This window comes from Homo sapiens, chromosome 13 (genome assembly GCF_000001405.40).
Source record: "Homo sapiens chromosome 13, GRCh38.p14 Primary Assembly".
NCBI lineage: Eukaryota > Metazoa > Chordata > Mammalia > Primates > Hominidae > Homo > Homo sapiens.
Window position 1 is genome coordinate 42,849,542 of NC_000013.11, and position 15,560 is coordinate 42,865,101.

Sequence of the window (15,560 nt, forward strand, 5' to 3'; positions counted from 1 at the left end):
GTTGCCTCTGAAGGAGAATCTCTGAGCATGGAGGGACATGTTTGCCAAATACCCAAGTCTGAATAACCTGAATAGCCCAAGTCTGTTTGTCAAGTAAAACTGGTGTTCATGGGAAAAGCTGCTAGTTTAGCTAGAACTCAATTACACAAGTACTATTTTTTTGTACTTCTGTATGTCACAGAAGTGCTTTATTTGTACTCCCCATAACATCACACACAATATTAAAAAGACTTGTACTGAAGGATAAAGATTTAATAAATCATGTTGCTGCTTCATCAAGGTCATTCTTAAGTCAAATTCTTTTTATGTTTGTTTGTTTTCTGCCAGTCATGAAGACGAAGAATAAGATGTCTACTAGTGCAATTGCTGGTACTGCCATTTGTCCTAAGGTGTCAGCAGTTTTGCCTATCGTTGCTTCTGCACTATCACTGCAAATGTCAACACAGTGAAAAGGGAAAGTATGAGAATAGATTTGGCCTCCCCCTGGAAGAGTCTCAGGGAGCTCAAAGTGTCCATGAACAGTGCTTTGAGAACTGCTGTGTTAGTATATTAGTATAAAGACATCATGGTAACACATCTGGCTTCAGGACAGCAGACATAGAAACAAGGAGAGAATGAAGGGGATCCATTTTTTGAAATACAAAGTTTCATCACAGAACCTAGTAATCAGACATCTGCTTCTGTAGTGCAGATACCTTGTGTTACTCCCTTGATATTACCGACTATAAAATTAGAGTATACTAGCTAATAGAACCATATTGGTATATGTATTTGTTCCCAAGCATTGCTATAACAAATTACCACTTCTGTGGCTTAAAATAACAGAAATGTATTCACTCATAATTCTAGAGGCTAGAAGTCCAAAATTAAGGTGTCAGCAGGGCCAGCTACCCTCTGAAGGCTCTAAGGAAGGATTCTTAATGCCTCTTTCTAGTTCCTTGGTGTTCCTTGGCTTGTAGCTGCATCGCTCCAACCTGTGCCTCCATCTACACATGGTGCTCTTCTCTTTGTGTGTCTCTCTGTGCATCCTCTCATCTTCTTCCATTGACTTCAGTCATTGGATTTGGGGCCCCCACATCTCATAGGCCAAAAAGTCTCTCTTTCCAGATAAGATCACATTCACAGGTACCAGTGTCAGGACTTGAACGTATCTTTTTTGGGCATACAAAATGAAGGACAGAAATTGTTGTTCATTATTATTATATAGTATAGTAGGTTTAATTGTGTCCCTTTAACTCACTACACTAAATAGTCATAATGAACTACCAGCAACTCCTGCTCCTCATTTTCTTTAGATCTTCAAAGAGTTAGAAATATTGAGCAAGAAATTTTATTTTAAAAAACAGCTTCATTGGGGTATAATTGATATGTAATAAACTGTACATACTTACAGTGTACAATTTGATAAACTTTAGCATACATATATCCCCATGAAACCATCACCACAATCAAGGTAGTAAACATATCCATTGGCCTCAAAAGTTTCCATGCGCCCCTCTGCAATCCTTTTTTCCTGCTCCTCTCTACCCACCCCATGTCCACAGGCAATGTTGATCTACTTTCTGTCACTATGTTAAGTTTGCATTACATAGAGTTTTCTGTAACGGAATCATAGAGTATGTACTCTTTTTTCTTTGGCTTCTTTCCCTAAGCATAATTATTTCATAATTCATTTATGTTGTAACACATGTATCAATCAAGTAGTATTCTATTGCATGACTATACCACATTTGTTTATCCCACTCACCTGCTTGCGGAAAATTGCGTTTTTTCTAAATTTGTATTACAAAGGAAGCTAGGCAAGAATTTTTAAATCTTCCAAAAGCTAAAACTTTACTTCAACAATATGTCATATGTTTTATTTGTTTATGAAGCTAACAGAGCACTTGCTGCTGTAAGTCAAACTTAGCTCTTCTGCTTTCCAAGAAGGTGGATTCCTCTGGTATAAATTATGAAAAGCCTTTTGGAGAGAGAGATGCACGATAAATCAGGAGCCAGACAAAATGATAATTTTCTACTCCATAATCCCACTCTTAGGACTTTTGCCTAAAGGATTAATTTAAAAAAAAAAGTAAAGGTAAACTGGTGAAGATATTTTCTGTAGACCTCTCTAGAATAGTAAAACATTGGAAGCAACCTAAATATATATAGAGGAAATATTTTTAAAACATGAGAAAGTGCTTTAGAGAAAACATTTAGCTCAAAAAAGCATAATATGAAATTATATCTAGACCATGATTGTAACCATATAAAATTCAGATATGTGTGTGGATAAGGGAACTAAAAACTATTAGTATGTTACAGTAATGGAATTGTGAATGATATTTCTCTCTTACTTTATTTTTGTCATAAAATATACACAATAATAAACATCAGCAGGAAACAGTTGACTGCCCTAAAATGACTAAACCCATAGGCTTCTTGATGGTGTGCAAACCTGTATGTGTTCATTTGACCCATTCCCTATCACCAATGAAATAAATTAGGATATTGTCAGAGTCCTAGTCTAATTTGCCCTATATATATTGCTACACTTTGGACAGAAATTGGAGGATGGTATTAGAAAGTCTTCTACACTCTGGGAATCTTCTTCAACCTGAAAGTTTCATATATATGAAAATGAGGGAAACTATCAAGTGTTGGGGGAGCGTGTGTGCCATCAAGAGCTTTCACACACTGATGGTGGGAGTTTGGTTTGGTACAACCACTTTGGAACTCTTCGGCATTATCTAATAAAGCAGGGTATATTGCATACACTGTGACCATAAATCCCCCTTCTAGGCGTACACCCAACAGAAATGCAGATGTATGTTCAGCAAGGGTATGTAGTAGAATGTTGATAGCAGCATTATCTATAATAGCTCCAAACTGGAAACTGCCCAAATGCTCATCCACATAGAATAGATAAATTGCAATGGAGACACACAATGGAACACTATATAACAATTGGAATGAACAATCTACAATTACATGTGTTTATATGGTTGAACAGTACAAATATTGAGAGAAATAAGCCAGATGCAAGAAAGTATGTAGTGTATAATTTCACTTATGTTAGTACAAAGACAGGCAAAATAAATCTATGCTTTTAAGGATCAGGATAATGATTGTTCTTAGAGGAAGAAGGGCAGAGACTTACTGAAAGTAGCATAAAAAGGCTTCAGGTGTACTTATAATGGACTATTTATGATCCAAGTTCTGGTTATATAAATGTGTTTGGTTTATGGAAATTCATCAAGCTATATATTTATGTGTAGTTTTCTGTGATGTATATTATACTCCAATAAAAGTTTTTTTTTGTAAAGTCTATAGGCATTATCAAATGCTTTAAGAATGTTACCAAGAAATTTCTTTTTTATGTAGATATGAAAAGAGGGATAGTTGACAGTACAGTGTTGTGAATTTACAATGAACTAGAAAATCAGGATTATATAGCAGGGTGCATCTGGCAAACTTTGTGGCCAGCCAGGAATAGTTATTGCTAGTTACAGAGCTGAAAGCCCCCAATAAATTTTGTTTTCTCCATTGCACACTGCCTGATGATTGGCAAAGAAATAAAATATAGAATCAAGAAGGCCAGAATGCCCTCTGCAAGAACAAAATGTACTGCCAATATGGCACGTAGCTGCACCTCCATCCAAAGTTGTATGGAGCTTATGAAAGGTCCAAGCTGCTGTATGACCTGGAGAGCTACCATGCATCTCATTGCCAGGATCACAGTTAGAAAAAGTAAACAGAAATATGTTTCTACCAAAATCCATAAGAGAAGAAAGGAAAACCGTTCTCCAACCGAAAGAGGAAGAAGGAGAGGGCATCATCTCTCACCTTGTTAAAGATAAGCTCCAGGAAGCAAAGGAGAATTCTCTACCCAGCTGAATAAGGACATATTTCCCAAGAACCACTGGGTTGCCAGAATTTCTATTAAGAATTCCAAGTATTCTCATATTATTTTTCAGTTTTACATTTCTACTAATTGTGTAAGGCCTATAGAAAGCTTCTTGAACTGTGTTTTCCCATCTTCAACATGACTTTGCAATTGAAAGACAGGATATAGCAAAACCAGAGGTTAAGTGAATGCCAGCAAGAGAAAATGGTTAAATATTTCATGGTATGTCATGGAATGCCATAGAAGCATTAAAAAGATAATAAATTAACTTCTAGAATCAAGATTATGTTCTCTAAATGCCCTTTCTCACTAGGGAACCAGTCCACTTTGGAGAAATGACTCAATCTACATCTAGTGTAAAAAGCCTTCTGGGTAAGTCGAGGATATTCTATTTACCAGAAATCAAAGAAGTCATCATCACAAACTACTGGGATCTTGTCAAAAGAAGACCAAAGGAGCAATTCTGCGGAGTGCCCACTGGCCAAGAGTGAGACCATCTGAGCATCAAATGTCATAAAATTCCATAATCTACAACACATTTAATATATACAAATATCTGAGTCCAACAATGTTATTGATCACCATTGGAGGTTGCTAAAGCATCATTTCATTATTCAGAAAATTGACAACCAAAAAAAAAAAAAAACAACCTTTATTCTGCCTCTCCTATACAAACTGTTATTCCAGATTACCAATGATTGATAAGAGAGAGTTCTTCATAGAATTCCAGCCAATCAAGGCAGAAAGATTAATAGATTTAGAAAATTATTATTTTACAACTCTGACTGAAATAATGAATATAGGTAATGTTCATTACTGAATGCTAAAACTGTTAAGTCAGGCTTGATGAGAAAGTTTATATTGGAAAGATAAAGCTGACCACACCTGACCCCAATGGCCAATTTCAGCATCACTTAAAGTGGGCTGGCCAATGTTGTATTCCTCCTATTCCATACCTCTGTGATGCAATAGAAAGTACACAGCACCAACTATTAAGTATTCTAGCCAAATGAATCGAGCCAGAAATCTCGTCAATCCTCTATATTCAACTAAGTATGTAAAGGAAGCACAGGGTAGGTGTTAAGTGACACCACGAGAATGAAATAAGACAAATCTAGAAGGTGGGAAATTCTACAAGGAAAATAACCTGGTTTCTTCAACAAATAGAAGCATTAACAGGGAAGGGGAAGGGAAAATCATTGTAAATTTTAGAGACATATCAGGCAAATGCAATGTTTGGCATTTGAATCCTCATTCAAACAAACCAACTGTAAAAAGATGTTTTTGAGGCAATCAGGGAGATTTGAACATGAACTGGGTATTGGATGATTTTAAAGAACTATTATAAATTTTGTTATAGGTGATATTAGTATAATCGGTTACATTCTTAAAAATCTCTATCCGTTAGTGATGAATACTGAAGTGTTTACTGGATATAGACAACATAAAGTCTGGGATTTGCCTGAAAATATTGAATAATACGAAGTAAAGTATACACAATAGTAGTATGAATCCATTTTTGTAAACAATGACCTGGTTTTGTAAAATACGCACATACATTTATTTTTAGGTAGATGTATAGACATACACATATATAAATGTTTACATATGATTTTATGAGCACTGAGAATTATTTGGAAGAGCCCATGCTACACTGTAAATATAGACTAGCTGGGGGTGGAGGCTGATATGAATAGGGAAAGATTAAGTAAGGGTAAATTTAAAAAAAGATTTCATTTTTAAAAGGTAGGATGATGTATCCCAATATATGGATTTATATGAAACAGTCAAAATATCTGTATTTCTACATACATAAAGAAGATTGTTTTTAATCTTTAAAAAATTGCAAAATCTGTCCACATTTCTGAAACAGAAACAGCGCTGGTTTCCTAGCACGGAAGCCTGGTAACTGCAGTAAATTTCTGCCGGTCTGCCCATAAGCAGAGTGATAACAAACTAGAAGCTCTCAGGCAGCAGCATGTGGCGAGCTGAAGTGAAGCAAATAGAATTGGGTGTGTGGTAGGGTCTTTGGGACGGGGGCTGACTGGAAATCGATACTTCAAAAATGCACTGCAACACTCACCGCTGCGGTGTGTTAGCATGGATAGCAAGGAAACAAAATGAGATGTCAGCTGAGTATACTACAGAGAATGAATCTCCTTCTCAGAGCCCAAGTATCAGGCACAATGCTCACCAGCATGAGGCAGCCATGGGACAAAGGAAAAGCACTAACCCAGGAGTCACAGGAGGTTTAGGTCACACCTCGGCTCAACCACACACCAATTGCATGACCTTGAGAAAGAAACTTGACCTCCTGGCCTCCACACGTAAAATGAGAATAAAAATAACATCTCAACTGTCATGATCATCACATGTACTTTACAAAGAGGTAAACTAAAAAGCGCTATACATGTAAAAGTGTCAGAAAGGTTGCTGCCTGCCCCCATGTGCACGTGTGCACACACACACCCCCACACACATCTCACTATTCATATATACATTAGCACATAGAAATATACACCATTCACAGGTAGAAATGCTGTATATGCATGAGTTTTACAGCAAAACAACCCTCCTCCCAACTTGTAGATGGGAAAATCAAAGCTTAAAGAACTTAACAAGCTAATGGTTACATAGAATTCATTTATAATAATGTTGGAATTTAGCAGAGGTATATGTGTTTAAAATAGTCTCATTCGAGGCCAGGCGTGGTGGCTCATGCCTGTAATCTCAGCACTTTGGGAGGCCAAGATGGGAGGATCACTTGAGGCAAGGAGTTCAAGACCAGCCTGCGGAATATAAAAAGACCTCATCTCTAAGAAAATTTTTAAAAATTAGCCAGGCCTGGTGGCATGAGCCTGCAGTCGTAGCTACTAAAGGGCCTGAAGCAGGAGGATCTCTTGGGTTCAGGAGTTGGAGGTTACAGTGAGTCATGATCGTACCACTGCACTCTATCCTGGGTGACAAAGCAAGACCCTGTCTCAGAATAAAATAAAATAGTCTCATTCATGGCTGCTAAATATGATTTCTGATTTATGGAAAGTTCTGACCTGGAAAAATTACAAAGCCAGATGCTATGGACTGAATCGTATACATGAAATGCATATGCTGAAGCCCTGTTCTTCCAGGTGATGGTATTTGGAGGTGGGGCCTTTGGGAGGTAACCAGGGTTTGATGAGGTCATGAAGCTGGGGCTCTCATGCTGGAATTAGTGCCCTTATTAGAAAAGGCACCAAAGAAGACGGATTTACAGCTGAATCCTACCAGAGGTACAAGGAGGAACTGGTACCATTCCTTCTGAAACTATTCCAAACAATAGAAAAAGAGGGAATCCTCTCTAACTCATTTTATGAGGCCAGCATCATCCTGGTACCAAAGCCGGGCAGAGACACAACCAAAAAAGAGAATTTTAGACCAATATCCTTGATGAACATTGATGCAAAAATCCTCAATAAAATACTGGCAAAACGAATCCAGCAGCACATCAAAAAGCTTATCCACCATGATCAAGTGGGCTTCATCCCTGGGATGCAAGGCTGGTTCAATATACACAAATCAATAAATGTAATCCAGCATATAAACAGAACCAAAGACAAAAACCACATGATTATCTCAATAGATGCAGAAAAGGCCTTTGACAAAATTCAACAACCCTTCATGCTAAAAACTCTCAATAAATTAGGTATTGATGGGACGTATCTCAAAATAATAAGAGCTATCTATGACAAACCCACAGCCAATATCATACTGAATGGGCAAAAACTGGAAGCATTCCCTTTGAAAACTGGCACAAGACACGGATGCCCTCTCTCACCACTCCTATTCAACATAGTGTTGGAAGTTCTGGCCAGGGCAATTGGCGGGAGAAGGAAATAAAGGGTATTCGATTAGGAAAAGAGGAAGTCAAATTGTCCCTGTTTGCAGACGACATGATTGCATATCTAGAAAACCCCATTGTATCAGCCCAAAATCTCCTTAAGCTGATAAGCAACTTCAGCAAAGTCTCAGGATACAAAATCAATGTACAAAAATCACAAGCATTCTTATACACCAATAACAGACAAACAGAGAGCCAAATCATGAGTGAACTGCCATTCACAATTGCTTCAAAGAGAATAAAATACCTAGGAATCCAACTTACAAGGGATGTGAAGGACCTCTTCAAGGAGAACTATAAACCACTGCTCAATGGAATAAAAGAGGATACAAACAAATGGAAGAACATTCCATGCTCATGGGTAGGAAGAATCAATATCGTGAAAATGGCCATACTGCCCAAGGTAATTTATCGATTCAATGCCATCCCCATCAAGCTACCAATGACTTTCTTCACAGAATTGGAAAAACTACTTTAAAGTTCATATGGAACCAAAAAAGAGACCGCATCGCCAAGTCAACCCTAAGCCAAAAGAACAAAGCTGGAGGCATCATGCTACCTGACTTCAAACTATACTACAAGGCTACAGTAACCAAAACGGCATGGTACTGGTACCAAAACAGAGACATAGATCAATGGAACAGAACAGAGCCCTCAGAAATAATGCCGCATATCTACAACTATCTGATCTTTGACAAACCTGAGAAAAACAAGCAATGGGGAAAGGATTCCCTATTTAATAAATGGTGCTGGGAAAACTGGCTAGCCATATGTACAAAGCTGAAACTGGATCCCTTCCTTACACCTTATACAAAAACTAATTCAAGATGGATTAAAGACTTAAACGTTAGACCTAAAACCATAAAAACCCTAGAAGAAAACCTAGGCATTACCATTCAGGACATAGGCATGGGCAAGGACTTCATGTCTAAAACACCAAAAGCAATGGCAACAGAAGCCAAAATTGACAAATGGGATCTAATTAAACTAAAGAGCTTCTGCACAGCAATAGAAACTACCATCAGAGGGAACAGGCAACCTACAAAATGAGAGAAAATTTTCACAACCTACTCATCTGACAAAGGGCTAATATCCAGAATCTACAATGAACTCAAACAAATTTACGAAAAAAAATAAACAACCCCATCAAAAAGTGGGCAAAGGATATGAACAGACACTTCTCAAAAGAAGACATTTATGCAGCCAAAAGACACATGAAAAAATGTTCATCATCACTGGCCATCAGAGAAATGCAAATCAAAACCACAATGAGATACCATCTCACACCAGTTAGAATGGCAATCATTAAAAAGTCAGGAAACAACAGGTACTGGAGAGGATGTGGAGAAATAGGAACACTTTTACACTGTTGGTGGGACTGTAAACTAGTTCAACCATTGTGGAAGTCAGTGTGGCGATTCCTCAGGGATCTAGGACTAGAAATACCATTTGACCCAGCCATCCCATTACTGGGTATATTCCCAAAGGACTATAAATTATGCTGCTATAAAGACACATGCACACGTATGTTTATTGTGGCACTATTCACAATAGCAAAGACTTGGAACCAACCCAAATGTCCAACAACGATAGACTGGATTAAGAAAATGTGGCACATATACACCATGGAATACTATGCAGCCATAAAAAATAATGAGTTCATGTCCTTTGTAGGGACATGGATGAAATTGGAAATCATCATTCTCAGTAAACTATCGCAAGGACAAAAAACCAAACACTGCATGTTCTCACTCACAGATGGGAATTGAACAATGAGAACACATGGACACAGGAAGGGGAACATCACACTCTAGGGACTGTTGTGGGGTGGGGGGAGGGGGGAGGGATAGCATTTGGAGATATACCTAATGCTAAATGATGAGTTAATGGGTGCAGCACACCAGCATGGCACATGTATACATATGTAACTAACCTGCACATTGTGCACATGTACCCTAAAACTTAAAGTATAATAATAATAAAGAAAAAAAAAAGAAGACACCAAAGAGCTCGTTCTCTCTCTCTCTCCTCACTATGTGAGCATCTAACAAAAAGGCAGCTGTGTGCAAGACAGGAAAAGGGTCCTTACCCCAAAGTGAACACTGCTAGACCTTGATCTTGGACTTTCCACCCTTCAGAACTCTGAGAAAATAAAGGTCTGTAGTTTAAGCCTCTCAATCTATAATATTTTGTTACAGCAGACCAAGCTGGCTCAGGTACTGGGTCAAGAGCCTCTACTTCATGTTCTTACAATATCCTGAACTTCCTGTATCATAATATTCATCATTTTACTGTTAGCATTGTTAGTTCTACTTCCAAGCTACATGTCCTGGGGCAAATTGCTTAAAATTTCCCTCTGCCTCTGTTTTCTTTTCCAGACAATGGGGGTAATAATGGAATCTTTCTCCTAGGACCTTCCTGCATCTGTGTAATGATTATCTTATCATAATAATTAGGCGATTGAATACATGACTTCACCTAGAACAGTATCTGGCAAAATAGAAAATACTTAATAGGATGACAAGATGATGTTCCTGCTGTTTTTGCTGTTATCTATTTGGCCAAATTATAAACTTCATAAGGGCCCAGAGACCTCTATTATCTTGCTCACAATTGTTACCCTATGAACAAACTAGCATGGCACATAAATAAATATTTGCTAAATGAACAACTAGGTGATGAGAAAGGAGAAAATGATTCAGTGAGATGGCAAACATTTTCAGGAAGTGCATACTGTACCTATAAATAGAAACAAAAGCTATTTTCTTAGATATTTTAACCGGTAATTTATAAGTTGCAATTTAATTGATTCAACACACAGCCAAGAAGATGAGGAAAGAATGGTATAGTATAATATTCTTTGAACAGTTTTCCTGTGCATAGTAAAATACCTATGGAAGAATTGTCGGGGATGTGCTCCATTCTAAAGCTCATTAAAGCTGCTTGAACAACCATTGCACAGGTTTTGCTTTTTCATTTAATTTTAATAAAATATTTTACTGGAGGAAACTTTGGGGTATAATAGCAATGAAGTGGGTATAGTGCTTTAGGTGACATTTCATTTCATTTGTGGGCACCTGTGGAGATAAATATACTAATCCCAATGCCCCGGAATTTGGGCTGCTGGTTATCCAAAAATGAAATGTCATGTACAGAAAGTTATTTTTTATTGTTTAATTTCCAGCTGTCTGCTCAGCAAATCAGAATGACAAAGACAACAGCTATTTCAAGATAAGGCACCACATGCATTATAGAAAATGCATCTCATTTGGAACTTTAGTCCTGTTCTTGATGACAGACCAGTGAAAACGTGAAATTTAAAATATTCCCCATTGCTTCCCGAGCACGAGTGATAATGAGCCTTTCATTTTGCTTTGACTGAAATCATAAAGCAAAGTCATGGATATATTGTACAGTTGCACCTCACACTCTACATAAACAATCCACATCTCTAGGCAAACCTTTTATAGCTTAAATAAGTCTGGAAGACAATGAGAGCAGCAAGTTAGATTTAAACCTGAGATGGTGATCTGTAGCTGGAGGAAGCCAGAGCAGACGGAGAGCCTGTTCATTCTATTACCAGAACCACAGTTGACTGTTTTTCAACCTTATCATATATCTCAAAATATCAGAGCATAATTCCCACCTTGGACTAAATCATCTGAAGAGATTTGGTAATGTTGCCTTGTTCCTCTGCAGGATAAAGAAGCTTCCCAATTCTATGAGTTTTCTCCCCAAAATGAGAAGGGAAAAAAATTCTTTTCTGGTCTATTCTCAGTAGCCTTCAGGGCTACTTACAAGATAAAGCTTCTCAGAGATTTAGATCATAGCTGTGTTTAATAATAGATAATATTCAGGTGTCATCTGTGTCAGAACCCACCACACCCGCTCCCATGGACAAGCAGGAAAGAACTAATATTTACAAAATCACTCTGTATATTTGTTTGGGCAGGTCAAGTCAGGTTAAAGAGAGAACCAATAAATTTTATTTATATTCTCTCGTGAAAATCCATAGCATCCATCACTAGAGTTTCCAGGCATCAAACCTCTGACCGGCAGAAGCAAGGGTTAAGGTAATTAAGTAAATTTCTGATAATACTGCTTAATTTCTTCATGTAAAGCCCTTCCTTCATTGTACATATATTCATTCAGTGGCATTATCCTGTAGCTCTGACTATGCCACATTGGAGATTGTTTCGCAAGATGTTCAAGATGTATTGCCTTGTCTTTTTTTTTTTTTGAGATGGAGTCTCGCTCTGTCGCCCAGGCTGGAGTGCAGTGGTGTGATCTCGGCTCACTGCAAGCTCCGCCTTCCTGGGTTCACTCCATTCTCCTGCCTCAGCCTCCCAAGTAGCTGGGACTACAGGTACCCACCACCATGCCCAGCTAATTTTTTGTATTTTTAGTAGAGAGGAGGTTTCACCGTGTTAGCCAGGATGGTCTTGATCTCCTGACCTCATGATCCACCCACCTCAGCCTCCCAAAGTGCTGGGATTACAGGCGTGAGCCACCACGCCTGGCCTGCCTTGTCTTTTCTAACAACACTTTTCTCTTCCCCTGGGTGCTACCATCTACTAGTGTGGCTTTAAATATTATCTCTATGCAGATGACACTTAAGCTTGTATATCTCCCTGACTTCTGCTTGAGTTCCAGACTTTCATATCCAACTTCTTACTTGATTTATTCATTAGGATAAAGAACAAAAATATTAAACATAAATATTTTCAAAACAGAACTCTTGATTTCCATCTTACACCTATTTCTCTTACAAGCATCTACTCACTTGCTCAAGCCCCAGATATAGGATTCATCCTTGATTATTTCTTTATTTCCCCATCAGCAGTCCCTGTTAGCCTGGCCTCTGAAATAAACAAGTAAAAACATAAATTAAAAGTATAATTAACATAGTGATATGTTTCATGTAGACTATGAAACAGGGTGTTATGAGAGGGAGGGAGTGATAGGGTGATCAGGAAAACTCTTTTTGGGAAGGTGATATGGTTTGGCTGTGTCCCCACCTGAATCTCATTTTGAATTCCCAGGTGTTGTGGGAGGGACCCAGTGGGAGGTAACTGAATCATGGAGGCAGGTCTTTCCCATGCTGTTCTTATGATAGTGAATAAGTCTCATGAGATCTGATGACTTTATAAGGTGGAGTTTCCCTGCACAAGCTCTCTCTTTGCCTGCTGCCATTCATGTAAGACGTGACTTGCTCCTCCTTGCCTTTCACCATTATTGTGAGGCCTCCTCAGCCATGTGGAAGTGTGAGTTCATTAAACCTTTTTCCTGTATAAATTACCCAGTCTTTATCAGCAGCATGAAAACGGAGTAGCACAGAAGGTGACAATTCTGTGTTCTGGATGTCAGAATGTACATGTCCATGCAAAGATCTAGGGACCATTTCAGGCAGAAGGACAGCTAGAACAATGACTCTAAAGCAAGAAAGAAGGCAGTTTGAATGATGCAAAGAAAAGCTTAAGCCCTGGTTACATGGGGAGATAGGGGTCAACTTCTATAAGACATATAAACCCAAAAGAAGGAGTTTGGAGTTTAAGTGCAATAGCAAGTCAATGAAATGATTTAACCTGCAGAGTGATATGATTTATTTCATTCTTCAAAGATCATTCAAGATCCTTGGGCAACATGAACAAAATTAATTTACATCCTTCCGCCAACATCACCACTACACCCAGATACTACTGATCCTATTGAAAACACATAGGAATGTTGGGTTAAAGTATAGAGCAATAATATAGAATAAAATCCTATACTCAGAAGAAAGAAGGAAATAAAAGGAAAGAGGAAAGGAGGAAATCTTTGAGAAATCAGAATAAAAACATAACTCAAAACAAGACTGGTAATTATCACAACTGATGAGAGAAGAATCTCAGAGGGTGTGAGTAGGATATCAGCTCTGAATGGGATTTACACTGTACGTAAGCAATGTAAGCAAAGGAGACAGGGGTCTGGGGCTCTGAGAGGCAAGAAGCTGGAAATAAGACTCCTGCCTAGAGAGAGGTTCCTCAAAGGACTGCTCTGTTTGGATAAAGAAAACTGTAAAAACTCTACCCACCAGCTGAGGGAAGGGAAAAGGAATCACAGGGAATCTGAATGGAAAACAAAATCGCCTGTGAAATTGAAAGCCCACAGCCAGATACGGTAGCAGAAGTTACAAACCCTAACCAGTTTAATAAACTCAAACCAAGAGATTATAAAAACTGCTCCTACAGTAGTGAAACCCTAAATTTTACTTGCAAAAGTAAATGCAAAATTGAGCCATGGCGGGGGCATGATTTACATAGAAAAACAACCCCAGTTTAGCAGGAGCTAACAGTAAAAACTACAAACAACACAAGAAATGAAACCACCTGAAGGAAAATCAGCAGACACATCAATCAGGAGGCGCAACACTGATTTCCAAAGTAGCTGATAAAACAATCGAAAGAGATTATAAAATAAGTACGGAAACTAAAATGAAAGAGCTGGGCTATGAATAAAGGAGAGGCAAGTCAAAAATAAAAACAAAACACGTGACTGTAGGTAATTAACATTAAAACTTTATTAAAATGTAAAAACTCAATGAGTAGGTTAAGTAGCAAATGAAAACCAGCTCTAGAGAGAATTAGTAAACTACAAGATATATTTGAGGAAGTAACACAAAATGCAGTACAATCCAATACAAAGAAATATGAAATAGGCAAGGGGGATTAAGGAAGGGGAAGAATAGAAGAAAAAATTCGACATGTATTCAACAGAATATAGCAAGAAGTAGAGAATAGTAAAGAAAAAACAAAACAACAACAAAAAAAACTGCAGTATCAGCCGGGCGCGGTGGCTCATGCCTGTAATCCCAGCACTTTGGGAGGCGGAGGCAGGTGGATCACGAGGTCGGGAGACCGAGACCATCCTGGCTAACACGGTGAAACCTGGTCTCTACTAAAAATACAAAAAATTAGCTGGGCGTGGTGGCCGGTGCCTGTAGTCCCAGCTACTCGGGAGGCTGAGGCAGGAGAATGGCGTGAACCCGGGAGGCAGAGCTTGCAGTGAGCCGAGATCGCACCACTGCACTCCAGACTGGGAGAGAGAGCGAGACTCCGTCTCAAAAAAAAAAAAAAAAAAAAAAAACAGTACAGTATTTAGGTCTGCCTAATCACAGTACTCTGCAATCCTGGACATAAGGTTTGGTCCAAGGGTGAACACATATCCAAACAAGTCCATATAAAATCCTCCCACCACCATCTCCCAGGAGAGTTATGTGATGTTGGGAGCGTTAAGATCTTTTCACTTGGCCAGGCTCAGTGGCCTCACACCTGTAATCCCAGCACTTTGGGAAGCCGAGGTGGGACGATCACTTGAGGCTAAGAGTTTAAGACCAACCTGGGCAATATAGTGAGATCCTGTCTCTATTCTTAAAAAAAATTAATAAATAAAATTTTAATAAGGATCTTTTCACTGGGTTGCTGAACTGTGTGGTAAGATATAAAGTCAGGGAAAGGGTCTTGTGCTTTCGGTGGTGGGGCTAGAGAAAGGAACACTGCACCATGGAATGAAAAACTTTTCTAGCTCCTTAGCGTTTTCCCCCTACACACACTCATTGTCTTCATTCCTTATGCAAGCTATGTCCAGGGAGAAAGGAAAACATTTTTTCTTAGCACCCACTCAACCAGACACTTTCCTAGGCGGTGGGAATGATAACCTGAATAAGACCTGATCCATGGAGAACCTGAGTGCCAGAGGCTGGGAAGGGCTGGACCCCAGGTCTCCTGATGTTGAATCCAGGGCTTCTCCTGCTCTCTT

The 15,560-nt window shown here is 38.7% G+C and overlaps 1 long non-coding RNA gene across 2 annotated transcripts in view; it reads right to left on the reverse strand.

The window, feature by feature from the left end:
* LINC00428 (long intergenic non-protein coding RNA 428) overlaps positions 1 to 15,560 on the reverse strand; it is a 30,333-nt gene that overhangs the window by 7,130 nt on the left and 7,643 nt on the right. The window contains exons 2-3 of one of the 2 annotated variants that reach the window (NR_126388.1): positions 12,547 to 12,624; positions 706 to 1,151 (exon numbers count right to left, since the gene is read on the reverse strand). This is a non-coding gene — a long non-coding RNA (long intergenic non-protein coding RNA 428). Of the gene's footprint in view, positions 1 to 705; positions 1,152 to 12,546; positions 12,625 to 15,560 lie in introns of those variants that run through there. The other variant, NR_126389.1, reaches the window with a different exon arrangement.